General features: G+C 45.4%; 1 pseudogene, besides 1 other annotated feature; it reads left to right on the top strand.

Moving 5' to 3' along the window:
* Positions 14,119-14,286: a silencer, noted in NCBI's record as "fragment chr11:57349879-57350046 (GRCh37/hg19 assembly coordinates)". NCBI's record gives its function as "represses an EF-1alpha promoter that drives an FKBP-Casp9 reporter gene in an ReSE screen in K562 erythroleukemia cells {active_cell/tissue: K562}" and the evidence as "EXISTENCE:reporter gene assay evidence [ECO:0000049][PMID:32094911]".
* RPS4XP13 (ribosomal protein S4X pseudogene 13) lies at positions 19,587-20,472 on the top strand (annotated as a pseudogene).

Genomic DNA, 27,218 nt, shown 5'->3' with positions numbered 1-27,218 from the left:
CAATAGACCTGGCTGGCTGTGTGAGCCAGCAAGTTGCTTTCCCCCTTGACGTCTGGCTGTCCTCGAAATCTGGCTGTCCTCGACATCTAGCTGTCCTCTCAGCATTGCCAGATAAAACACACGAAGTAGGCAGGCCTGGGGGTTCATACCTGTAATCCCAGCCTTTTAGGAGACTGAGGCAGGAGGATCCCTTGAGCCCAGGAGTTCAAGGCTGCAGTTAGCATTGATCATGCCACTGCACTCCAGCCTGGGCAACAGAGTAAGACACTTGCTGTCTCTAAAAAAAAAAAAAAAAACTTACATTGGGATATACTTATGGTAAAAATGCTTACATTGGAATATACTTATGGTAAAATAAATTTTGTTGTCATTGTTGTGTATCTGAAATTCAAATATAATTGGCATTTTGTATTTTTGCTAAATCTGATAACTCTGCCTCATCTGCAAAACAAACAGGTTGTCTCTGATGACCTAATATAGCTATCATGTTCTATCGTCATCTCACTGCAGGCCTATCCTCTGGCTGTGTTTGGAGCATTCAGGAAAGTTTGCTGCTAGCACCAGAACTGCTACTCTAAGGGACTGACCAAGGACAGAAACAGGAGAATATTTGTGTGTCTCCTCGGGGGTCCTTGGACAAGACCCAGAAAGAGTCTTCCCCAGCTTTGTGCTTTATTCTCTGAAGCCACTTGGGAACCTCCTAAACCATGGGAAAGTTATATAACATCAGAGCCATCGTTTGAACAGCTGCACACAAAACAACGTTTCTCCATCCCCAGTGCTCAAGCTGGTGGGCTCAAAGGGACTATGAGCTTGTGGATTCTGGGAAATGGGTCAGCCAAAGGAAAAGAAGGTGGTGGAAAGCAACCTAATTCACTGAGTGCTCACCATGCATTTACATTCATCCTCTCACTAATTCTCATCACCTATGAAGTAGGTGCTATATTAATCCCATCTTAAACAAGTTAAAATGAGGCTCAGAGAAATTAATTGATCTACCTAATATCACAAAGCCAGTAAGTGACAGAGCCAGGATGTGGACCAGGTCTGTTTGACCCAACAGTTCTTTATTAACCCTTACAAATTATTGACACACACCAGGGGCTAACCTGAAGCAGACAGCAAAGGGAATATTCTGGGTACAGCTGCAAGAGTACGATGCTTTGTGGGCCAAAGTTCCAGGGTGAAAAAGCCCCAGTGGAGAGGTTTTCCCAGCTTGTGGGTCTACCTCCTTCAGCCATCTATAATAGCTCTCTGGCCAAAGCCATTCCTGCACTCTGCACATTTAAATGATGTCTGCTTTGTGAAGTCTCCCCTGCCTGCTGAAGCTGGAGCTGAAACTGACTTAATCAGGATGTTTGCGGAATTTCTCCCTAGTGTGGATGTTGAGATATTCAATCAGTGTAAGGTTGTGAATTCAGTTCTCTTCCCACTGGGAGCAGGTCTAGGATTTCTCTGTAACAAGGACCTTTCCTTCTGGTGACTGAGGAGAGTTGAACCCACAGAATCCCTCTTCCCTCATGTTGTAGGTGCACATGGCTTCTCTCGCCTGTGAATTTCCTGATGTTGAATGAGGTACAAGTTCTCACTAAAGCTCTTCCTGTACTCAGAGCATTTTTATCAGGTTTTTTCCTAGTTGAGTCCTCTAATACTGAAGGTACAAGTTGCTGTAGCTGAACTCTCTCACATTATAGAGTGTGAAAAACTAAACACCTTTAGTTTTCCTTCTTAAGAGAAATTTTTCGGCTGGGCATGGTGGCTCATGCCTGTAATCCAGCACTTTGGGAGGCTGAGGTGGGCAGATCACTTGAGGTCAGGAGTTCGAGGTCAACCTGGCCAACATAGCAAAACCCCATCTCTACTAAAAATACAAAAATTAGCCAGGCATGCTGGTGCACGACTGTAGTACCAGCTACTTGGGAGGCTGAGGTGGGGGGATTGCTTGAACCCAGGAGGTGGAGGTTGCAGTGGGCCGAGATTGCGCCACTGCACTCCAGCCTGGGCAACAGAGTGAGACTGTCTCAAAAAAAAAGAAAAGAAAAGAAAAAAAGAAAAATTATCCAAAACTTGGAAACAGGGCAAAAGAATTCTGAGAAATCAGGGTCACTCCGTTCTTGGGACACAGAAAATGGTTGGAGGGACTATTTTCTCAACTCTCCCACAGATAGTACACAACTAGCACCACTCTAGTTTCAGAGGAGAGAAGTTGATTGATTATCAACAAATAATGCGCTGGGCAAATTAGGGCTCAGTCCTTTCTTTGGAATCTTGGTTGAGAAATGCTATTCTAGAGGAATAGAATTTTCTCTTTCTTATTTTTCTAGATTAGGGCTCAGAGTCTGTAATGTCAGATGTTGACCTGTCAAAAATGGATAAGATGCAAAGGGTTTTTGTCTGGTAGAGATGTGAATGAGATGATAATGATAACCCCAAAGGTAATGGTCTTGATGCAGGGCAGGTGAGCCCCAAAGTGGGGCTTAGCTGGTAAGCGTTCTTAGCTTTGCCCAGGAAAGAATTCAAGGGCAAGCCGGAGGTAGAAGAAAACAGTTTTTTTGAAGAGGCAGTGTTACAGCTCAGTGACTGCTCCTGCAAAGGAGGGGTACTCTGTAGGCAGAGAGTAGCAGTAGCTCAGGGCAGTTTTGCAGTCATATTTATACCCACTTTCCATTACATGCAGATTAAAAAGCAGTTTAAAGCCGGGCGCGGTGGTTCCTGCCTGTAATCCCAGCACTTTGGGAGGATAAGTTGGGTGAATCACCTGAGATCAGGAGTTTGAGACCAGGCTGGCCAACACAGTGAAGCCCCCTCTCTACTAAAAATACAAAAAATTAGCTGGCGTGCTGGCAGGCTTCTGTAATCCCAGCTATTCGGGAGGCTGAGACAGTAGAATCTCTTGAACCTGGAAGGTGGAGGTTGCAGTGAGCCGAGATCGCACCGTTGCATTCCAGTCTGGGCCACAAGAGCTAATCTCTGTCTCAAAAAACAAAACAAAACAAAACAACAACAACAAAACAAAACAAGAAGCAGTTTATGCAGAAATTTCTAGGGAAGGGAAAAGAACTTTTGGATCATCAGGTCATTGCCATGGAAAGAGGCAGTGACTCCCAGGTGTTTCCATGGCAATGGTAAACTGACATGGCGGACTGGCTGGCAAATCTTATGGAAAACTGCTTCTGCCCTGGCCCTGTTTTAGCTAGTCCTCAATCTGGTTGGTATCTGAGCCCCACCTCGGGAGTTGAGTCCTACCTCCTATTTCAGTCTTGTTGGCCTGCAGGGCAATAGCCAGTTTTGTAGGTAACTTAGCTGTGTTATTCCAGCACACACACACACACACACACACACACACACACACACACACCAGTTTCTCAAATCATTCTTTGAACCAACTTTGTCATCCTGACAGTTATCTTGTGAAGGTTCTCACTGTGTATTTGTGTGAGAATGACAGTTCTACCATTTTGAGAATTATGTTGTGGCACACCCTTTACGTGGGGCTGTTGATGCTTTGTAAGTAAGAACGGACCACAGGCTGAACTTTGTCCCTTATTTCCTACAAATACAGTAGTCCTCTCCGGAGAAGGGCACAGGTTTGGCAGCCATGAGTGAGGGAGCTGTGGGGGTTCCTGCTCCCACTGTATCCCCACCTTCTTCACTGATTCCCTTTCTCACCAGCCCTGACTCATTCACATGGGCTGTTTCCTGCCCAGCTCTCCAGGGACTGGACCTTCCCAGGAACCTCACTAGAGAGTCCTCATGCACAGTACCCTTCCACTAACGACCCTCTTCTCTTCCTCTTCCCTTCAGTCTTTAACTGGTATGAGGAGGTGGATGGGGATCAGAGATGAAGACAGAGATGAGATCCAAATAAGTGTTGAGACACAAAATCCCCAAACCTCAGGCTCACACCCTATTTGCAGATCCTGGCAGGCCGAGGAATACAAAGCTTCTTCGAGTAGAATAGAAACATTTGATGAGTCCTCATAGATATTCTAAATTGGTCCATTCAATCATTTTTCTAAGGATCTTTAAAATTATTCTTTTCCTGGGTGCAGTGGCTCATGCCTGTAATCCCAGCACTTTGGGAGGCTGAGACAGGGGGATTGTTTGAGCCCAGGAGTTTGAGAGCAGCCTGGACAACATGGTAAAACCCCGTTTCCACAAAAAATAAAAAAAATTAGCCAGGCTTGGTGGCTCATGCCTGCAGTCCCAGCTACTCAAGAGGCTGAGGTGGGAGGATTGCTTGAGCCTAGGAGTTCGAGGCTGGAGTGAGCCGTGATCACACCACTGCACTCCAGCCTGGGCGACAGAACAAGACCCTGTCTAAAAAAAAATTAAATGATTCTTTCAAAGTTATTGCTACAAAGTCATATACGTGCTTTGTAAAACTTTTCTGGCTGGGCGTGGTGGCTCACGCCTGTAATCCCAGCACTTTGGGAGACCCAAGTGGATGGATCACCTGAGGTCAGGAGTTCAAGACCAGCCTGGCCAACATGGTGAAACCCCGTCTCTACCAAAAATACAAAAATTAGGTGGACATGGTGGCACATGCCTGTAATCCCAACTACTCGGGAGGCTGAGGCAGGAGAATCGCTTGAACCCAGGAGGTGGAGTTTGCAGTGAGCCGAGATCGTGCCATTGCACTCCAGCCTGGGCAACAAGAGCAAAACTCTGTCTAACAAAACAAAACAAAACAAAACAAAACGTTTCTAACAATTCAGACACTTACAAAATTAAAAGTTACCACAGACAAAACTGCTGTTAATAATTCTGAGTGTATGCTTTTATATTTGCCTATTTATAAAATCATATCTACTTCATCTCTCCCCACACACATAATTATTACTCTTCCATAATTTCTTTTCTTTTTTTTGAGACGGGAGTCTTGCTCTGTCACCCAGGCTGGAGTGCAGTGGCCCTATCTCGGCTCACTGCAAGCGCTGTCTCCAGGGTTCACGCCATTCTCCTGCCTCAGCCTCCCGAGTAGCTGGGACTGCAGTCGCCCGCCACCACTCCCGGCTAATTTCTTTTGTGTTTTTAGTAGAGAGGGGGTTTCACCGTGTTAGCCAGGATGGGTCTCGATCTCCTGACCTCGTGATCCACCCGCCTCGGCCTCCAAAAGTGCTGGGATTACAGGCATGAGCCACTGTGCCTGGCCTAATTTCTTTTCTTAATAAAGTAGCATGGGCATTGTTCCATGTCACTGCAGGCAGCTCTATCTCATTCTTTCTTACAGCCGCACGGTATTCCATTGTATGGATGTATTACAAACTATTTCTTTGATCTCACCCTGAGAGAGACATTTGGATTGATTCCCAAACCAATCCCCTTAACTACATGCCGGTTCCAGAAGTTTCCCTCTCACTTACTATCTTTTCCACTTCTTGCACAGCAGCGTACCTGCTTTCTCTGCTACCTTTCTATTTCTAGCCTTTGTTTCCAATTCTCCGTTGCCAGCTCTGTAGATGGAAGCGCTAGGTTTGGACTGTTGACTCAGCTGTGAATTTGGCTCCATTCAGATTGTGGCCCCTTGCTTTGACCTGCTGTTTCTGCTTCCATGCACCTCTCCTGAGGGTAAAAATGCCTGCTCCACTTCCAGAAAAGCCAAAATTCACCTTGCGTTCCTCAATGCCTGTTGAGAAACAGGGAGCCACCCTCCTTGTTCTGCCCAACTTGAACATGAAGCCCCATGGTCACTTCTCCAGTTACAGACTTTTCTTTTCTTTTCTTTTCTTTTTTTTGGAGACAGAGTCTTGCTCTGTTGCCCAGGCTGGAGTGCAGTGGCATGATCTCGGCTCACTGCAAGCTCCGCCTCCCAGGTTCACGCCATTCTCCTGCCTCAGCCTCACAAGTAGCTGGGACTACAGGTGTCTGCCACCACGCCCAGCTAATTTTTTTTTTTTTTTGTATATTTAGTAGAGATGGGGTTTCACGTGTTAGCAGAGATAGAAACCCTGTCTCTACTAAAAATACAAAATTAGCTGGGTGTGGTGGTGCATGCCTGTAATCCCAGCTACTTGAGAGGCTGAGGCGGGAGAATTACTTGAACCAGGGAGGTAGAGGTTGAGCCTGGGCAACAAGAGCAAAACTCTGTCTCAAAAACAACAACAACAAAAAATTGTGACGGCACCATGTTTAAGTTCTGATATTCAGTAGACCAAGTCCTCACATTTTATTCTTCTTCAAGAAGATCTCTGCTATTCTTGATCCCTGAATTTCCATATATACTTAGAATCAGCTTACCAGGCTCCACAAAATAAAAGGGAAAAATATGTTGGGATTTTGACTGGTATTACCTTACATCTATAGATCATTTTGGGAGTGAATTGACATCTTTATAACAGTAAGTCTTCTAATCCATGAACATGTTATAGCTTTCCAACTATTTGGCTCTTCCTTAATGTTTCTCTGCTGGGATTACAGGTGGGAGCCACCACGCCTGGCCTGTTTCTCAATATACTTGTTGATATGTTTAGGCTTTGTGTCCCCACCCAAATCTCATCTTGAATTGTAATCCTCATAAACCCCATGTGTCAAAGGAGAGACCAAGTGGAAGCAATTGAATCATGGGGGCAGTTTCCCACATGCTGTTCTCTTGATAGTGAGTGAGTTCTCACGAGATCTGATGGTTTTATAAGGGGCTCTTCCCTCTTTGCTCAGCACTTCTTCCTGCCACCTTGTGAAGAGGGTTTCTTGCTTCCCCTTCACCTTCTGCCATGATTGTAAGTCTCCTGAGGCCTCCCCAGCCATGCACAACTGTGAGTCAACTAAACCTCTTTCCTTTCGAAATTACCCAGTCTTGAGCAGTTCTTTATAGCAGTGTGAAAACAGACTAATACAGTTATATAGTTTGCTCTGAAGACGTATTCCACCTATTTCTGTTTATTTCCAGGATCTTGATTTTTTTTTTCTGCTATTGAACACAGTGCATGTTTTAGTTCAATCTATGTCATTAAAAAATCATTTTTGTGGCAGGGCACGGTGGCTCATGCCTGTAATCCCAGACCTTTGGGAGGCTGAGGCAGGCAGATCACGAGGTCAGGAGTTTGAGACTAGCCTGGCCAACATGGTGAAACCCTGTTTCTACTAAAAATACAAAAATTAGCCAGACATGGTGGTGTGTGCCTGTAATCCCAGCTACTCAGGAGGCTGAGGAAGGAGAATTGCTTGAACCTGGGAGGCAGAGGTTGCAGTGAGCTGAGATCATGCCACTGCACTCCAGCCTGGGCAACAGAGCAAGACTCTGTCTCGAAAAAAGAAACAATAATTTCTGGGCCTCATTTTCTCTCTCCTTTATGTAACAAGGCCTAGTTTTATCACTGGCCTAAAAGTCTTAGATTTTGTATTTACTTTTCAGTTCCAGGTTCCTTGAACTTGATTGGGTTTAGGTCTTTAATCTTGGGTCCTAATTTGAGCCCTTTATCTCCACCTCAGGTCACTATAGGAGGTGGTAGAAGTTGAAATAGCCTCTCACCCAGAGGGATTAGAGGAGCTTGATCTTTCCCTACATCCAGCCCATCATCAGACCTTTTGGTAGTATCTTCAAAATGTATCCTGAATCCACTCAGTTCTCTCAATCATTGAGGCCATGAACCCAATCTAGCCACAACCATCTCTCACCTGGGCCACTGAATAGCCTCCTGCCTGGTTTCCATGCTTCCACTCTGTCCTTTCCAGATATTCTTCAATCCACAGACAGAATGATAATAACTAATATAATATAATATAATACATGATAATCAATATAAATTGGTTTTCCATGGGAGACCTTTTTTTTTTTTTTTTTGAGACAGGGTCTCGCTCAATTGCCCAGGCTGGAGTGCGGTGGCACAATCTCAGCTCACTGCAACTTCTGCCTCCTGGGTTCAAGCGATTCTCATGCCTCAGCCTCCCAAGTAGCTGGGATTACAGGTGCCCACCACCATGCCAGGATAATTTTTTATTTTTTATTTTTATTTTTTAGTTGAGACGGGGTTGGCCAGGCTGGTCTCACACTCCTGACTTCAGGTGATCCACTCACCTCAGCCTCCCAAACTGCTGGGATTACAGGCGAGCTACCGCACCCAGCCAGGAGACCACTCTTATAAGAAGTCACTTATGAGCCTTTCTCTTCACTCTTGTAATAAAATCTAAACTTTTGACCCTGGCCTACAAGACTAGGTCCAAGCTGACCTCTGCCTCCCTGTCCAACCTCTGCTTGTATTACACAACTCCTCTTATTACATCTAGTGCCTGGCCTTCTGAAAGTTTCTAGAATATCTGTATTAGTCCATTCTCACATTGCTATAAAGAACTACCTGAGACTGGGTAATTTATAAAGAAAAGAGGTTTAACTGACTCACAGTTCCACAGGCTGTACAGGAGGCATTGACTGGGGAGGCCTCAAAAAACTTACAGTCATGGCAGAAGGGCAAAGGGGAGGCAATTGTGTCTCCACATTGCAGCAGGAGAGAGAGCAAGTGAAAGGGGAAGTACTACACACTTTTAAACCATCAGATCTCATAAGAACTCACTCACTATCATGAGAACAGCAAGGGGGAAATCTGCCTCCGTGATCCAATCACCTCTCACCAGGTCCTTCCCCCAACACTGGGGATTATATTCAACAGGAGATTTGGGTGGAGACACAGAGTCAAAGCATATGATTCTGCCCCGACCCCTCCCAAATCTCATGTCCTTCTCATAGTTCAAAATACAACCATGTCTTCCCAGTGGTTCCCCAAAGTCTTAACTCATTCTGGCATTAACTCAAATGTCCAAGTCCTCTGCAGGGGTTGAGAGAATTCAAATAAAAAACAAAACAAAACAAAAAAGTCTAAGTCCAAAGTCTCATCTGAGACAAGGCAAGTCCCTTCCACCTATGAGCCTGTAAAATCAAAAACAAGTTAGTTACTTCCAAGGTACAATGGGGGTACAGGCATTGTGTAAATGCTTCCATTCCAAATGAGAGAAATTGGCCAAAACAAAGAGGCTACAGGCCCCATGCACATCCAAAATCCAGCAGGCAGTTATTAAATCTTAAAGCTCCAAAATAATCTCCTTTGACAACATGTCTCACATCCAGGGCATGCTGGTGCAAGGGGTGGGCTCCCAAGGCCTTGGGCAGCTCCTCCCCTGTGGCCCTGCAGGGTACAGCCCCTGTGGCTGCTTTCACAGGCTGACGTTGAGCACCTGTGGCTTTTCTAGGTGCACAGTGCAAGCTGTTGGCGGGTCTACCATTCTGGAGTCTGGAGGACAGTGGCCCTCTTCTCACAGCTCCACTAGGCAGTGCCCTAGTGGGGACTCTGTGTAAGGCTCCAACTCCACATTTCCCCTCCACACTGCCCTAGTAGAGGGTCTCCAGGAGGGCTGTGCCCTTACAGCAGACTTCTGCCTGGACACCAGGCATTTCCATACATCCTCTGAAATCTAAGTGGAGGTTCCCAAACTTCAACTCTTGCCTTCTGCGCATCCACAGGCCCAGCACAACATGGAAGCTTCCAAGGCTTGGGACTTGCACCCTCTGAAGCAGTGGCCTGAGCTAAAGCCCTTCATGGCAGAAGGGCAAAGGGGAGGCAAGCCTATTTTCACATGGTGGCAGGAGAGAAAGCTAGACAAGGGGGAAGTGCCACACACTTTTAAACTATCAGATCTTGTGAGGACTTACTCACTATCATGAGACCAGCAAGGGGGAAATCTGCCTCCATGATCCAATTACCTCCCACCAGGTCCCTCCCTCAACATAGAGGATTACAGTTCAACATGAGATTTGGGTGGGGACACAGAGCCAAACCACATCAATACCTTTGCTGTTCTCTGTGCCAGGACTGCTCTTTCAGCAACTTTCTACATAGTTGCTTCATCCTTCAGGTTGGGATTTTTTTTTTTTTTTTTTTGAGACAGCGTCTCCTCTGTCCCCCAGGTTGGAGTGCAGTGGCACCACCTAGGCTCACTGCAGCCTCCACTTCCCAGGCTCAAGCAATCCTCCCGCCTCAGCCCCCTGAGTAGCTGGGACTACAGGTGTGTACCCTCATGCCTGGCTAATTTTTTAAATTTTTTGTAGAGACAGGGTTTCACCATGTTGCCCAGGCTGCTCTCAAACTTCTGGGCTCAAGCAATACACCCGCCTCAGCCTCTAGAAGTGTTGGGATTACAGGCATGAGCCACTGTGCCAGTGGGGACTCTGTGTGGGGGCTCCAACCCCAAATTTCCCGTCCACAGGTTGAGATCTTTAAAAGTTTATCTGCAGGGAAACCTTTCTGACAACTCTCCTTATTCTCCACCATCATGTCTCTTTGGTTTTCCAAATCACATTTACCACAAGAGGGACAATCATTTCATTGCTCTGTGTTTGCTAGATTATTGTCTTCTTCACCAGACTGTGAACCACAGAAGAGCAGGGACCCTGTCTGTCTTATTTACCATTGTATCTTTGGCATATGGTACTGTGCTTACCATGTAGAAAGTATACACACACACACACACACACACACACACACACACACACATATATTAGACAGGGTCTCGCTCTGTCACCCAGGCTGGAGTGCAATGGTGCAATCTCAGCTCACTGCAGCCTCAACCTCCCAGGCTCAAATGATCCTCCCACCTCAGCCTTCTGAGTAGCTGGGACTACAGGCACACACCACCACACCTGGCTAATATTTGTATTTTTTCTAAAGACAAGGTTTCGCCATGTAGCCCAGGCTGGTCTCAAACTCCTGAGCTCAAGTGATCCACCCGCCTTGGCCTCCCGAAGTGCTGGAATTACAGGCATGAGTCACTGCGCCCGCTCTATAAGATATTTCATAAATGTCTGTTAAATGAATGTATACACCTTGCCTAAGCCAGAAGACAGAAGTTGGAGCACAGGGATCCCTGACAAAGGCCACAAGAAATCTTCCGAGAGGCTCAAGTGATTGTGCATAATGATTAGTAATGATGACATGTATGTCTGGGAGAGGGGATGGGTGAATTAATTGAGAATCAACCTAGCACAAAAAAGTTCTTCACCTAGTTAGAGGCCACTTGAGAGGCCCATCTGTTGGCCCCCTAACAATTCCATCTTTCTGATATGTCTCCCTCTTTCATCTGAATAAGTGAAAGGAAGAAGAATACCAAAAAACAGGAAGAGTGGGGTGTTAAAAGAAGCAGACTGTTTGCACACTGGTGCCACCTGCTAACTTCTGCTGTGGCTGGGGGCTACTGTGGGGCACTCATGGGGATGTCCATTGTGGTTCAGGGTCAGAATTCTTGCCTGCCTTGTGGGAGGCTCAGATTCCATTTCTGGTCTGTGCAACTTCCTTTCAGCCCACCACCTGGCACACAGCAGAAACTCAATAGATATTTGTTGAATGATTGAATAAGCAAGGTCCTTTGATATTGGCTATCAAGGACACAGATTAAATGGTCCAACTGTGCCTTCTAGCAGTTATTATCGCCTATACACTACCCATTTCTACAGCCTCTTCTAGCAGCTGCTGCCAGGAGACTGGTGGTGCTTGTTACCTCCTCTAGGTAACTGATAAGAAAAAGAAAGAGAGAGAAGAGACACAAAGATGTTGCATGGAGATGGGGATGGAGTGGGGAGAGCAGGACCTCCCCCAAATTCCAGAGAAACAGCTGCTCCAGGAGAATATTAACACTTCAGTTTGAAGGCATGTTTTGGACTCCACGGCCCCCACCCCAGTGTACTTCAGTCATCTGATCATTATGACTTCTTGTCTTGGGTTATTTTCATTTTCCACACCAGTTTATCAAATAGATACAGAAAATGTAAACACATGAGTTGCCTACATTTACGTGCAACAACAAAATGATCTTCTGGCAAAAATTGCTTTAAAAACCACCATAACACACAGAACCAGACCGATGCTTTCTCTCCAGCCCCTGGTTGTATTCTGTCATTGCTTAACTTCATCCCAGGTTTACTTGCTCGGTTTAGTGTTCATTTAGGATTCCAACCTGGCTGGGTCTTTTCATGTAGTCAGAAGCTTCGTAGGGCCTTTCTGGGTTCTGCTTCAGGCCACAGAACAGCTTAGACTAGTGGCAAAGCTCTTAACTCACAGGACTCTTTCTGTGTCCGCATTTTCACAGGGGACACTTTCATCTGCCACTGCCATTCTAATTTGCCATCCAGATAGCTGACCTGGAAAGCCGACCCGGAAAGCGCACCCATTGGTGGATTCCAGCTCTCCCGCTAGGCCTCTGGACTTTCTCTTCAGCCTCTTCTCCGTTAGGTTAAAATAGAAGAGTAGACAGAACAAAAAGCCCGGGGGGATGGGGAAGTCAGGGGCCCTGCTTTCTATCTCAGGGATGTGTCCTCTGATCAGGACGTGGCTACCTGGGTGACAGGAGTCAGTCTTCAGGCCTTTGAAGAAGCCCCCTAGTTTGAATGCTAATTTACGCTTCTTCAAAGCTCCCTCATTTTTTTTCTTTTTCTTTTTTTTTTTTTTTTTTGAGACGGAGTCTCGCTCTGTCGCCCAGGCTGGAGTGCAGTGGCATGATCTCGGCTCACTGCAACCTCCGCTTCCCGGGTTCACGCCATTCTCCTGCCTCAGCCTCCCGAGTAGATGGGACTACAGGCGCCCGCCATCACGCCTGGCTAATTTTTTGTATTTTTAGTAGAGATGGGGTTTCCCCGTGTTAGCCAGGATGGTCTCAATCTCCTGACCTCGTGAGCCGCTCACCTCGGCCTCCCAAAGTGCTGGGATTACAGGCGTGAGCCACTGCGCTCAGCCTCTTTTTTTTTTTTTTTTTAACAAGGTGAGTCAGCTTGGATTTAAAGGGACTTTGTCCTTTGTTGGCCTTTGAATGGTTTCAAAGCATGATCTGATGGAAGCAAAACCCAATTCTGAAGTAGTTTTCTCCAAGAGTCTTCTGGGAAGCCGACTACCTAGGCCTAGGTCTTGGCAAGGGCAGGCTGTGGGGTAACTTGGGAGCTTCCCGCATCACTGTGGAGTTGGTCCCTGGCTGCTAGGGAGGGATCATCTCCTTCCCAGGAATGTGCTGGGGGGAGCTGCAAAGTGTCCTGAAGGGTCTGGACAGCCTAGGAATTTCTGTCCCACCTCCACAAGGTGTTATATCCCTAGACCTCAGTCTCTTCTCCTCTGTAAAATGAAGGGCTTTCATTTTTGCCATATTATTACCACCCCATGTACTATTATTTGGTTTCATGTTGTCTAATGGACTCATTTTTGTTTACTTGAATACACATAAAAAGGAAATGACGTCTCCTCTATAAATGGAGAAATGGCAGCACTCTCCATAAATAGAATGGATCAGGGCCAACCAGGCACAGGACCTTGAGTCTGTTGGCTTTTCGGGGACCAATGGAAATGTTATAATTGTAATTTCTTTTCAAATTAGGAGGAAAAAAATAAATATAATAGCAATGCATAAATAATAAGGCCTGGTGTGGTGGCTCACACCTGTAATCCCAGCACTTTGGGAGGCCAAGGGCATGGATCACTTGAGGTCAGGAGTTTGAGATCAGCCTGGCCAACATGGTGAAACCCTGTCTCTACTAAAAATACAAAAATTAGCCAGACATTGTGGTGGGCACCTGTAATCTCAGCTACTCAGGAGGCTGAGGCATGAGAATTGCTTGGACCTGGGAGGTGAAGGTCGCAGTGAGCCGAGATCATGCTGCTGCACTCCAGCCGGGGCAACAGAGTGAGACTTTGTCTCAAAAAAAAAAAACCAGAAAAAAAAACGCCGGGCATGGTGGCTCACGCCTGTAATCCTAGCACTTTGGGAGGCTGAGGCGGGTGGATCACTTGAAGTCAGGAGTTCAAAACCAGCCTGGCCAACATGGTGAAGCCCCGTCTCTACTAAAAATACAAAAAATTAGCCGGGCGTGATGGTGGACGCCTGTAATCTCAGCTACTCGGGAGGCTGAGGCAGGAGAATCGCTTGAACCCAGGAGGCGGAGGTTGCAGTGACCTGAGATCGCACCACTGCACTCCAGCCTGGGTGACAGAGCGAGACTGTCTAAAATAGTAATAATAATAATAATGAATCTAGCCAGGATTATATTCTTATTTATACCAATGCAATCATAAGGTATAATTTAAAAAAAGTTTTTTGGCTGGGCACGGTGGTTTATGCCTGTAATCCCAGCACTTTGGGAGGCCGAGGCCGGCGGGTCACCTGAGGTCAGGAGTTTGAGACCAGCCTGGCCAATATGGTGAAACCTCGTCTCTACTAAAAATACAAAAATTAGCTGAGGGTGGTGATGCACGCCTGTAATCTCAGCTACTCAGGATAGTTGGCTGAGGCAGGAGAATCGCTTGGACCCAGGAGACGGAGGTTGCAGCAAGCTGAGATCACACCACTGCACTCCAGACTGGGCAACAGAGTGAGACTCCATCTCAAAAAAAAATTTTTCTTTTTAGGCAGGGTCTCACTCTGTTGCTCAGGCTGGAGTGCAGTAGCACAATCACAGCTTACTGCAGCCTCGACCTCCTGGGCTCAAGCAATCCTCTTGCCTCAGCCTCCTGAGTAGCTGAGACTACAGGCACATGCCACCACACACGGTTAGTTTTTAAATTTTTTTTTTTTAGAGATAGGGTCTCACTATGGAGAAAGAGATACACCAAGGCGAAAGTGCTTAGGGCCCATGAAAGTCCAAATGCAGCCCTGGAATGAATGCACCTGTAAAATAAACGCAGCAAAAACAGAATGGTGTTACTAAATTCTAGCTGATTCTGCCTGCTGACATCTCTGTAGTAAAGCTTCCTCCTTCCGTGTTAAAAATGGAGTTAGCATGTGTTAGGTATTAAAGAATGAAGAGCATTAAACTGACACTTAGTCCTTGAGAAATCAAAGAGGATCAAAAGAAACTGAAAAAGAAAAAATGTTCTCAATCTGTGATTTCGTTGTTATTTAATACCACCTAAAATTGCTTGACATCCCTTTGGTGGATCCATCCCGTACTTGGCAGACACAGGATTTGATGATGTTGACAGTGACAATTATGTCTATTATATGATTGTGGTCCAGGTTTGATGTGAGTGTTTACTATATGCCAGGCCCTGGGTTGAAAAATTTAATATGCAAATCTCATTTTATCTTCACAGTGACATTGGAAACAAGGTACCATTATCTCTACTTAACAAATAAACTACAGCTTAAAGAGATTAAGTAACTTGCCCAAAGTCACTTAGAGAATGTCAGACCTTTAGGGCCAGGCACGATGGCTCACACCTGTAATCCCAGCACTTTGGGAGGCCAAGGCAGGTGGATCACCTGAGGTTAGGAGTTCGAGACCAGTCTGGACAACATGGTGAAACCCCATCTCTACTAAAAATAAAAAAATTAGCCTGCCGTGGTGGTGGGTGCCTGTAATCCCAGTTACCTGGGAGGTTGAGGCAGGAGAACTGCTTGAACCTGGGAGGTGGAGGTTGCAGTGAGCCGAGATTGCCCACTGCACTGCAGCCTGGGCAACAAGAGCAAAACTCTGTCCCCCACCAAAAAAGAAAGAAAATGTCAGAACCTTAAATCCAACTTTGGTTGACCTTAAATCCCATGTTTTTACTCACTAGGTTATAATTCCTATTTTTTGTTTCTTCTTTTCAATTAGTTTTCTTTTCAATTACTTCTTTGAAAAAAAGAATACAAAAATTGTACTTGTTTATAGTTTTGAATGGATACTTATTCTATTGAAAATTTCTATTCAAATTTTTGCCCAGCGGGGTGGCTTACGTCTGTAATCCCAGCACTTTGGGAGGCCAAGGCAGGCAGATCACTTGAGCTCAGGAGTTTGAGATCAGCCTGGCCAACGTGGTAAAACCCTGTCTCTACTAAAAATACAAAAATTAGCTGGGCGTAGTGGCATGAGCCTCTAATCCCAGCTACTCAGGAGGCTGAGGTGGGAGAATTGCTTGAATCGCTTGAATCTGGGAGGCAGAAGTTGCAGTGAGCTGAGATGGCACCACTGCCTTCCAGCCTGGGTGACAGAGCGAGACTCTTTCTCAAAAAAAAAAAAAAAGAAAAAAAAAAAGAAAAGAAAAGAAAAAAAATTTCTATTTAAATTTTGTAGTATGAAAAATTTACAGTAGAAAGTAAGTCTCCTTTCTACTCCATCCCTAGACACCTCTTCAAACTGATGAATCACTCTTATCCATTTCTCAAGCATCCTTCCAAGTTAGACTATAATTGTTCAAAGATAAGTTTCAGAAAAAGGTAAAATAATGACTCTCATAGATACAATATGGACACGCGTTAAATATTTCATTCTACTCTTTTATCAATGAGAGAACCAGACAAATGTTAGAATCAAAGAGATGTTAGAATCAAAAGAGATTCTGAAAACAGACACATTTATAGATCAAGAGTATTGAAATGAATACATAAATAAAGGCAAACTGGTTCTTCCATGGGGTGAGGGGAAGGAAGTTAATGAAGCCTCTGTAATAACTCAAAGACAGTGAAAGGCAGACAAAGTGAAAGGATATGTTATATGTAGACAAAACTGTTTTCCTCCCAAATCGATAACCACTCTATCAGATGTTTAGGTATCTTTCCAGGTTAGTATCTAACATGCAAACATAAATGTATATATGGTAGGGTTTTTGTTGTTGTTGTTGTTGTTGTTTGTTTTTTGTTTTTTTGAGATGGAGTCTCGCTCTGTCGCCAGGCTGGAGTGCAGTGGGGCAATCTCTGCTCACTGCAACCTCTACCTCCTGGGTCCCGGTTCAAGCAGTTCTCCTGCCTCAGCCTCCTGAGTAGCTGGGATTACAGGCACGTGCCACCACACCCAGCTAATTTTTGTATTTTTAGTAGAGATGGGTTTCACCATGTTGGCCAGGCTGGTCTTGAACTCCTGAACTCATGATCTGCCCTCCTCGGCCTCCCAAAGTGCTGGGATTACAAGCGTGAGCCACTGCGCCCAGCCTTGTTCTGTTTTTTGAGACAAGGTCCTGCTCTGTCAACCAGGCTGGAGTACGGTGACACGATTACGGCAGACTGCAGCCTCAACCTCCCAGGATCAAGTGATCCTCTCACCTCAGCCTCTCAAATAGCTGGGACTATAAGCACGTGCCACTGTACCTGGCTAAATTTTAAATTTTTTTAGAGCTAGGGTCTCACTGTGTTGCCTAGGCTGGTCTGGAACTCTTGGCCTCAAGCAATCCTCCTGCCTTGACCTCTCAAAGTGCTGGGATTATAGGCATGAGCCATTGTGCCCAGCCCATGCTGTTGTCTTTAAACACACAGGTATGGTGCCATGCCATCTACAGTGTCTGAAAAGCCTTTTTCCCCCCATTTATTAATATATTTCTTGACTTTGTTAGAAAGTCTCTAAGATCCTCTCTAACTCTGTAATTGAGCCTCCTCCAACCCAGACAGGGCTGTCAAAAAAGATGTTTATAGCCAGGCACAGTGGCCCACACTTGTAGTCCCAGTTACCCTGGAGGCTAAGGCAGGAGGATTGCTTGAGGCCAAGAGTTCAAGGCTGTAGGGTGCTTTGGTTATGCCTGTGTGCCTGTGAATAGCTGCTGCACTCCAGCCTGGGCAACACAGTGAGACCCCACCTCAAAAAAAAGTTTGTCTCATTCAAGGGTGGTAGATGACAATAATTCTCCGCCATGAAGTACCTGAGAGAGACTTGAGCAGCAACCAGGCACTGCCACACCTTCTAGGACAGGTGCACAACTATGCCTGCAAAGGCCACAGATGTTGTGGAGCATAAGAAACCCTGATCCTAACGAAAGGAAAGAATCAGAGGTAGGAGGTTAACAAGTGAAAAGAGACTCCAGAACACCTGTTACCTTACAAGACCAAATGACTAAAAAAAGCAGGTGATGCTGGCCAGGCCAGGAAAAATAGGAGGTGATGAAGACTGTGGCATACAGGGGTATGCATTCCTGGTGTAGAGGGGCAGCCCTGCTGAGCTCCAGCCAAGCTCTGCCCTGAGGGAATGTTGGCCTTGTATTGCCAAGAGCCTCATGATTTTTTTTTGTTTGTTTGTATGTTTTTGAGACAGGATTTTGATCTGTTCTCCAGGCTGGTGTGCAGTGGCACAATCGTGGCTCACTGCAGCTTGCAACTCCTGGGCTCAAGCAATCCTCCCACCTCAGCCTCCCAAGTAGCTAGAAATATAGGCATGTGCCTCCATGCCTGGCTAATTTTTTTATTAATTTTGTAGAGACAGGGTCTCCCTATATTACCCAGGCTGGTCTCGAACTCCTAGCCTCAAGCCATCTTCCCGCCTTGGCCTCCCAAAGCACTGGGAATATAGATTGGCATGAACCACCACACCTGGACTTAATTTTGCAAGAGAAGCCAGAAATAAATATTTTACTTTCTTTTAAAAAATGTTTTTCTTTTTAGGATAGCAAAGAAATAAACATTTTAATGCAAAAATCTTTTGGGTTAAAAAAGAGAGAATCTTTATTATTTAATTGAAATGTTATCTTTTTTTTTTTTTTTTTGAGACAGAGTCTCAGTCTCTCGCTCAGCATGATCTCTGCTCACTGCAACCTCTGCCTCCCAGGCTCAAGCGACTCTCCTGCCTCAGCCTCCCGAGTAGTTGGAATTACAGTCACGCACCACTACCACCCGGCTAATTTTTGTATTTTTAGTAGAGACGGGGTTTCACCATGTTGGTCAGGCTGGTCTCGAACATCTGACCTTAAATAATCCATCCGCCTTGGCCTCTCAAAGTGCTGGGATTACAGGCGTGAGCCACCGCGCCTGACCGAAATGTTATTCATTTTTAAAGAGGTAGTTCATTCACATCATTCCAAAAATGAAAGGAAATAGGATATAAAGTAAAAAATCCCCTCTATCTCCTCCAATTGATCAGCACGTTACCCTCTCCAGGGACCATCACTGTCCCTAGTATCTTGTATTCTTCCAGAAATGTTCTAAGCATATGAGGCAAATGTTATTTTTCCTTTATTCACACAGATTATAACATACTTTTCACAGGATACTATATTTTGTCTTTTCCCCTTAAAATTTATCTTAAGAGCCTTCTCTATCAATACGTAAACAGATTCCTCATTCTTGCTTACAGCTGCCTGATATTTATTTATTTTTATTTTATTTAAAAAATAGAAAAAATAAAAATAAAATAAATAGACACAGGGTCTCACTATGTTGCTCAAGCTGGCCTTGAACTCCTGGGCTCAAGGGATCCTCTTGCCTCGGACTCCCAAAGTGCTGGAATTACAGGCTTGAGCCACCGCTGGCATGCCTGATATTTCTTTGTATGAATGTACCATCATTATTTAGCCAGACCCTCTTTGTTAGACGTAGAGATTGCTTCCAAAGTTTTGCTATAATAAACAAGCCTATATTTATAGTATTTCACACATTGATAATATATCTATTGGATAAAATGCCTAGAGGCAAAACTGATAGGTCAAAGGAATTCATATTTATGATTTTGATAGATACTGACAATTTACTCATCATAGGGATTGTACACATTTACATTTCTTTCTTTCTTTTGTTTTTTTTGAGACGGAGTCTGGCTCTGTCACCCAGGCTGGAGTGCAATGGCGCAATCTCATTTACATTTCTATCAGTAATATATGAGAGTGACTGTTTTCCCACACTCTCCCAAAGACATGCATTATCAAACTTAAAAAAAAAATTCTTTTTCTTCTTTCTGTGCCTAATGCAGCCATGGCTCATGGTCCCAAGAAGCATCTGAACCACTACAGCAACTCCAAAACATTGGATGCTGCATAAATTGACCAGTGTGTTTGCTCCTTGTCTATCCACCAGTGTCCACAAGTTGAGAGAGTGTCTCCCCATCATCATTTAAGAACAGACTTAAGTATGCCCTGACAGGAGATGAAGTAAAGATTTGCATGCAGCCGTTCATTAAGATCGATGGCAAGGTCAGAACTGATATAACCTACCCTGCTGGATTCATGGATGTCATCAGCATTGGCAAGACAGGAGGGAATTTCTGTCTGATCTATGACACCAAGGGTTGCTTTGCTGTACATCATATTACACCTGAGGAGGCCAAGTACAAGTGGTGCAAAGTGAGAAAAATCTTTGTGGACACCAAAGGAATCCCTCATCTGGGGACTCATGATGCTCGCACCATCTGCTACCCTGATCCCCTCATCAAGGTGAATGATACCATTCAGATTGATTTGGAGACTGGCAAGATTACTGATTTCATCAAGTTCAACACTGGTAACCTGTGTATGGTGACTGGAGGTGCTAACCTGTGTATGAAGAATTGGTGTGATCACCAACAGAGAGAGGCACCCTGGATCTTTTGACGTGGTTCATGTGAAAGATGCCAGTGGCAACAGATTTGCCACTCGACCTTTCAACATTTTTGTTATTGGTAAGGGCAACAAACCATGGATTTTTCTTCCCTGAGGAAAGGGTATCCGCCTCACCATTGCTGAAGAGAGAGACAAGAGACTGGTGGCCAAACAGAGCAGTGGGTGAAATGGTCCCTGGGTGACATGTTAGATCTTTGTATGTAATTAAAAATAATGTGGCGTGATTAATTAACATTTTTTTGTCAATCTGGTGAAAAATGGTACTTTGGTGTGTTTTTCATGTGTATTTCTCCTATTATGAGCATAGTTGATCTTTTCACACATTTAGGAAGAATTAATATGTTCTTTTCATTGAATTATCTTTTACATGCTTTGTTTTCTATTTTTTTTTTTTTTTGAGATGGAGTCTTGCTCTGTTGTCCAGGCTGGAGTGCAGTGGTGTGATCTCAGCTCAGTGCAACCTCTACCCCCTGGGTTCAAGCAATTTTCCTGCCTCAGCCTCCCAAGTAGCTGGGACTACAGGCATGTGCTACCACACCCAGCTAATTTTTGTATTTTTAGTAGAGATGGGGTTTCGCCATGTTGGCCAGGCTGGTCTTGAACTCCTGACCTCAGGTGATCTGCCCACCTCGGCCTCCCAAAGTGCTGGGATTACAGGCGTGAGCCACCACCCACGGCCCTTCTTTTTTTTTTTTTTTTTTTTGAGACAGAGTCTTGCTCTGTCTCCAGGCTGGAGTGCAGTGGTGTGATTTCAGCTCACTGCAACCTCTGCCTTCTGGTTTCAAGCAATTCCCCTGCCTCAGCCTCCTGAGTAGGTGGGACTACAGGCATGTGCCACCACACCCAGCTAATTTTTGTATTTTTAGTAGAGATGGGGTTTCACCATGTTGGCCAAGCTGGTTTCAAACTCCTGACCTCAGATGATCCACCCACCTTGGCCTCCCAAGAGCTGTTGATATTTTTATTCATTTGTAGGTGCTCTTTATATATTATGGAGATTAATCCTTTGCTTGGAATAAGTTTCCTAGTTTGGTACTTCAGTTGCTTTTTTTTTTTTTTTTTTAAAGAGATGTGGTTTCACTTTGTCACTGAGGCTAGAGTGAGGTAGCATGATCATGGCTCACTGCAGTCTCAACCTCCCAGGCTCAAGTGATCCTCCCATGTTAGCCTCCAGAATAGCTAGGACTACAGGTATGCACCATTGCTCATGGCTAATTTTTTTTTTTTTTTTTTTTTTTTTTGAGATGGAGTCTCACTCTGTTGCCCAGGCTCTCTGCCCAGGAGTGCAGAGGCATGATCTCGGCTCACTGCAACCTCTGCCTCCTGGGTTCAAGCGAGTTTCGTGCCTCAGCCTCTTGAGTAGCTAGGATTACAGGTGTTTGCCAGCATGCCCGGCTAATTTTTGTATTTTCAGTAGAGACGGGTTTCACCGTATTGCCCAGGCTGGTCTCGAACTCCTGACCTTAAGTGATCCACCCACCTCGGCCTCCCAAAGTGCTGGGATTACAGGCGTGAGCCACTGCACCTGACCAAATTTTTAAAAGAAATTTTTGTAGAGCTAGGATTACAAGCATGAGCCGCTATGCCTGACCAGTTCTCTCATTTTTAAAAATGTTGCATTTATGGGGTTAAGGATATGCTACTCTAATATGACCAGAATATGTCATCCCAAAATACGCTTCTATCACTGGAAACTCTCATGAAGAGAAAAAGCAGGGACTTAAATCTGCATAACAAATCTTACCCTTGTTTATGGTGTTTTTCCTGGCCACCTCACTTTTCTTCTTTGCTTCAGCAGGCAAAGGTATTTAGGGCATCTCTTGGAGATTTACTCATTTCCCTCAGTATCTCCCATGTATTCATAAGGTGTATATGTTAATAAACTTGTTTTTCTCTTAATCTGTCTTTTGTTACAGGGGTCTGCCTCAAATAAGAACGATCACGGGTAGTGAAAAAGGTACTTTTGTTCCCCTATGACATCATATTTTAAAACATGTATAAGCCACATACAGCCTGCAAAATCAAACTTGTTTCTGAGCCACCAGTTTGCCACCTGTACTTGCTAATCGTAGGAAAATGGATGGGAAAACCAAGGTAGGGAGGCTATAAATTGCATGGGCCAGAGTCATGCAGCTGTGACCATGGAACTCACTATATCCTGGTTCAGGACAAGGGGATGCTTCTTGAATACCAGCTGTTCCTGATGGCAATCCAGCAGTGAGGTGGAACCCCGCTGCTCCCACCAAATGGCCCAATTTGGAAAAATTCATGGACGAGACTGAGGCTGAGCCTGTTGGGAAGAACCTGTAGAGCAGTAAGTAGACCAGGACTAAGCTCCCCTGAGTTCTAATCCACGACCTGGGGCAAGGCATTTCCCCTATCTGGGCACCTGTTTTCTTATCCCACCCGGTGGGATGTGGTGGGGAGTGGTTATATAACACTGAAGTTGACCCTTGAACATGGGCTCAAACTGTGCAGGTTCACTTACAGGTAGACTGCCTTCTGCCTCTGCCACTCCTGAGACTGCAAGACCAACCCTTCCTTTTCCGCCTCCTCCTGAGCCTTCTCAGCATGAAGACAACAAACATGGAAAACATGATGATCCACTTCCACTTAATGAATAGTAAATGTATTTCATCTTCCCCGTGATTTCCTTAATAACATTTTCTTTTCTCCAGCTTACTTTAAGAATACAGTATATAATCTCTATAACATACAAAATATATGTCAATCAACTTTCTGTTCTCAGTAAGGCTTCTGTTCAACAGTAGGCTATTAGTAGTTAAGTTCTGGGGGAGTGAAAAGTTATCTGTGGATTTTCAACTGAGCACGGGGGTCAATGCCCCTAACCCCTGCATTGTTCAAGCATCAACTGTAGATGATCTCAAAGCTCCCTTCCAGTTCTGAGATTAAGGGGGGCTAATTTGAATGTCCTGGGACAGCCACATTTTAGAACACTTCTATCATTGGATATTTTCTGCTTAAGGAAAACAACTTATATGTGCACATCTCACTTTGCAGGAATCAAAGTCTTCCAGGTAAAACCCCGCATGAAGTAGACAGGGCAGAGATTCTCACCAGTTTTTTTTTTTTTTTTTTTTTTTTTTGAGATGCAGTTTCATTCTTGTTGCCCAAGCGTGAGTGAAATGGTGCAATCTTGGCTCGCTGCAACCTCCACCTCCCAGGTTCAGGCGATTCTCCTGCCTCAGCCTCCCAAGTAGCTAGGACTACAGGTAGGCGCCCCCAGGACTGGCTAATTTTTTTGTATTTTTAGTAGAAACAGGGTTTCACCATGTTGGCCAGGCTGGTCTCAAACTCTTGACCTCAGATGATCTGCCCGCCTTGGCCTCCCAAAATGCTGGGATTACAGGTGTGAGCCACTGCGTCCGGCCTTCTCACCCTCATTTTTAACATGAAGAACTTAAGGCCCAGACAGACGTGGCAGTTAATAAGCAGGAAGTCAGTAGTTCTGGGTTTAAGTTCCATCTTAGAGAGTGTGTGACCTTGGGCCAGTAGTCACCTAGCCTCAGTTTCTTTACCTATAAAATGGAGACAAGGCTGGGTACAGTGGCTCATGCCTGTAATCCCAGCACTTTGGGAGGCCAAGGCAGGAGGATCAATTGAGTCCAGGGGTTTGAGAACAGCCTGAGCAACACGGTGAAACTCTGTGCCTACAAAAATACAAAAATTAGCCAGGCATGGTGGGACATGCCTGTAGTCCCAGCTACTTGGGGGACTGAGCTGTAAGGATCGCTTAAGCCTGTGAGGTTGAGGCTGTGGAGAGTAGTGATCATGTCACTGCACTCCAGCCTGGGTGACAGAGTAAGATTCTGTTTCAAAAAAAAAAAAAAAAAAATCTGGTAACAATAAAAGAACCTATTTTAGGAAGTTAGAGAGAAAATTAAGCAAGCATTATTGAATGGATCAATTATGATACTGCATGTCAAGCACTTAGCACAAACCTATGTTATGGAATAAATGTTTGTGTCCCTCAAAATTCACATGTTGAAGCTGTAACCTCCAGTGTGGTTGTATTTGGACATGGGGCCTCTAAAGAGTAATTAAGATTAAATGAAGTCATCAGGGTGGGGCCCCGATCGGACAGAATTCATGTCCATGTGAGAAGCGACACTGGAGAGCTCACTTTCTCTAATACCCACATTGCCTGCACAAGCACCTGAGGAAAGGCCATGTGAGGACATAGCAAGAAGGCAGCCGTCCACAAGCTGGGAAGAGAGCCCTCATCAGAAATCAAATCAGTTAGAATCTTAATCTTGGACTTCCAGCCTCCAGAACTGTGAGAAAATAAAACCTGTTGTTAAAGCCATTTGGCCTGTGGTATTTTGTGATGGCAGCCCAAGCTGCTGATACATCCTTGCACATCCAATATACATTAGTTATTGTTGTTATCTGTTGTTAACTGTTACTTCTCATGTCCAAAGTCCCACAACAAGGAAGTCAGTGAGTGGTTGAGCCCCACTGAGGAAGCAGGTCCTTCACTCATCAGGCCACCTTCCTGCTCTTGTGGCAAGAATACCCCCAGCTCCCCTCCTGGGACTCCCTGACTCCTTGATTGCCTCTATCCATCCCTCCACCTCAACCACAAGGGCAGGGCTCATGGTACAGGAGGGGTGTGTGTGTGTGTGTGTGTGTGAGACTAACCCAGAGGAAGGGGGGGTGTGGGGTAAGCACGAGGATCAAAAGAAGCAGGAAATTCTCTTCTGTCTCTGGTTCCTGGGAACTTCTTCTTTTTTTTTGCCTGCTCTTGTTGCCCAGGCTGGAGTGCAATGGCTCGATCTCAGCTCACTGCAACCTCCACCTCCCAGGTTCAAGTGATTCTCCTGCCTCAGCCTCCCGAGTAGCTGGGATCACATGCATGCACCACCACACCTGGCTAATTTTGTATTTTTAGTAGAGACAGGGGTTTCTCCATATTGGTCAGGCTGGTCTCGAACTCCCCACCTCAGATGATCTGCCTGCCTTGGCCTCCCAAAGTGCTGGGATTATAGGCACGAGCCACCGCACCTGGCCCAGGAACTTCTTTAAGCTCTAGGAAGATGGGGAGAGCTGGGGTAGTTCTGAGATTAACCGTCCCTACTCCAAATAGGAACAAGCCCAAGGAATGGGCATGGAAAGAAATCAACTGATCCTTCCTGATCCAAGTTCTTCCTTTGAAGATGCACTGAAGGTTCTTGGAGACATTTGAAAAATCTGAACCTCTTGCCCAGAACTCTAGAGGCATTATAAATAGATAACGTACTTTCACACCTACAAGGTGTCTGCTCACATACACCATCTCATTTTATCCTCATAAGAGACTGGCAAGCCTTACAGCTGGCAGAGCTCAGTCTTGGAAGAGACATACCTCATATGTGCACGTCACTTAAGAGGCCTTTCTCCTACCACCTTTTGTCATCACACAGATGTGTGTCTCTTCCTCTCAATGGTGAAGACGAGCCAGCCTAACCAATCAATGCCTGAATCCCATCGAGTACCCCATACAGGGCCTTGTATAAGTAGGTGCTCAATAAATTTTGTAGATGGATGAATAAATGCCAGTGACCAGATCAGGGAGAAGTAAAACAGGGTCTCCTACTGGAGAAAATAGTGTTGCTGTTGTTCTAAGGGAGCAAGCTCAGGCATCTGTTCCTACAGCCTGGTACATTCACTCTGAGGCAGGCACCTGACATCATTTTAATATTTATTATGTTATCATTATCATAACTGTCACTTATTGTCCACCATTCAAAGTTAAGTTCTTTGCAAATATCAACTCATTGTTTCTCACATCCACTGTTATGAGCTCCATTTAACAGATGAGGAAATGGAGGCACAGACAGGTTAAGTAATGTGCCCAAGGTTATTTAGCCAAAAATAGTGGAGCTGGGATTCAAACCTGATTGTTTATATCCTGGAATTACAATTTTCTTGTTTTGCTTTTTGAGACAGAGTTTCGCTCTTGTCGCCCAGGCTGGAGTGCAATGGCCCGGTCTCGGCTCACTGCAACCTCTGCCTCCCAGGTTCAAGTGATTCTCCTGCCTCAGCCTCCCCAGTAGCTGGGATTACAGGCGCACGCCATTACACCTGGCTAATTTTTGTGTTTTTAGTAGAGACGAGGTATCGCCATGTTAGCCAGGCTGGTCTCGAACTCCTGACCTCAGGTAATCCGCCTGCCTTGGCCTCCCAGAGTGCTGGGATTATAGGCATGAGCCACCATGCCAGGCCTCGGACTTAGAATTTTCTTTTCTTTTTTTCTTTGAGCGGAGTCTTGCTCTGTCCCCCAGGCTGGAGTGCAATGGCGTGATCTTGGCTCACTGCAACCTCTGCCTCCTGGGTTCAAGCGATTCTCCTGCCTCAGCCTCCTGACTAGCTGAGATTACAGGCACCCACCACCATGCCCGGCTAATTTTTGTATTTTTAGTAGAGACGAGGTTTCACCATATTGGTCAGGCTGGTCTCGAACTCCTGATCTCAGGTGATCCGCCTGCCTCGGCCTCCCAAAGTGCTGGGATTACACGCGTGAGCCACTGCGCCCGGCGACTTACAATATTCTAAGTTCCTCCACTTCCCTCAGCTTAGCCTCACAATGGTCCTGGCAAGCAGATAGGAGTTTCCGCCGACCACCCAAGGCCATAACTGCACATGGGGGCAGATGTGGAACTAGAACCCAGGTCTCCCTGGGGCTTGTTCTGACACACAAAGGTCTGCATTGTGAAAGGACATGAAAGGCACACCAGTGGGCTGCCCCACTGTGTGGGGACTTAGGACCCAGCTATATCCATGACTGTTAATTCACCTCGGGATGCAGCGTTCCTGTAAGAAAAGAAAAGGAGAGCTACGATACGTGGACAGAGGCTTTTGCTCCAGTTTCCATAGACACTGCCCCGTTTGCTCATGCTGTTCCCTCTTGTTAGAACATCTTCATCCCACGCTCTTACTTCTCGCTGACTCATCATGTTTCACAATACACTTGGATTTTTCTCT

The sequence above is a fragment of the Homo sapiens genome, chromosome 11 (assembly GCF_000001405.40).
Source record: "Homo sapiens chromosome 11, GRCh38.p14 Primary Assembly".
NCBI classification, from domain to species: domain Eukaryota; kingdom Metazoa; phylum Chordata; class Mammalia; order Primates; family Hominidae; genus Homo; species Homo sapiens.
The sequence above is the reverse complement of the archived record's forward strand: the minus strand, read 5'-3'. Positions and strand labels throughout refer to the sequence as shown.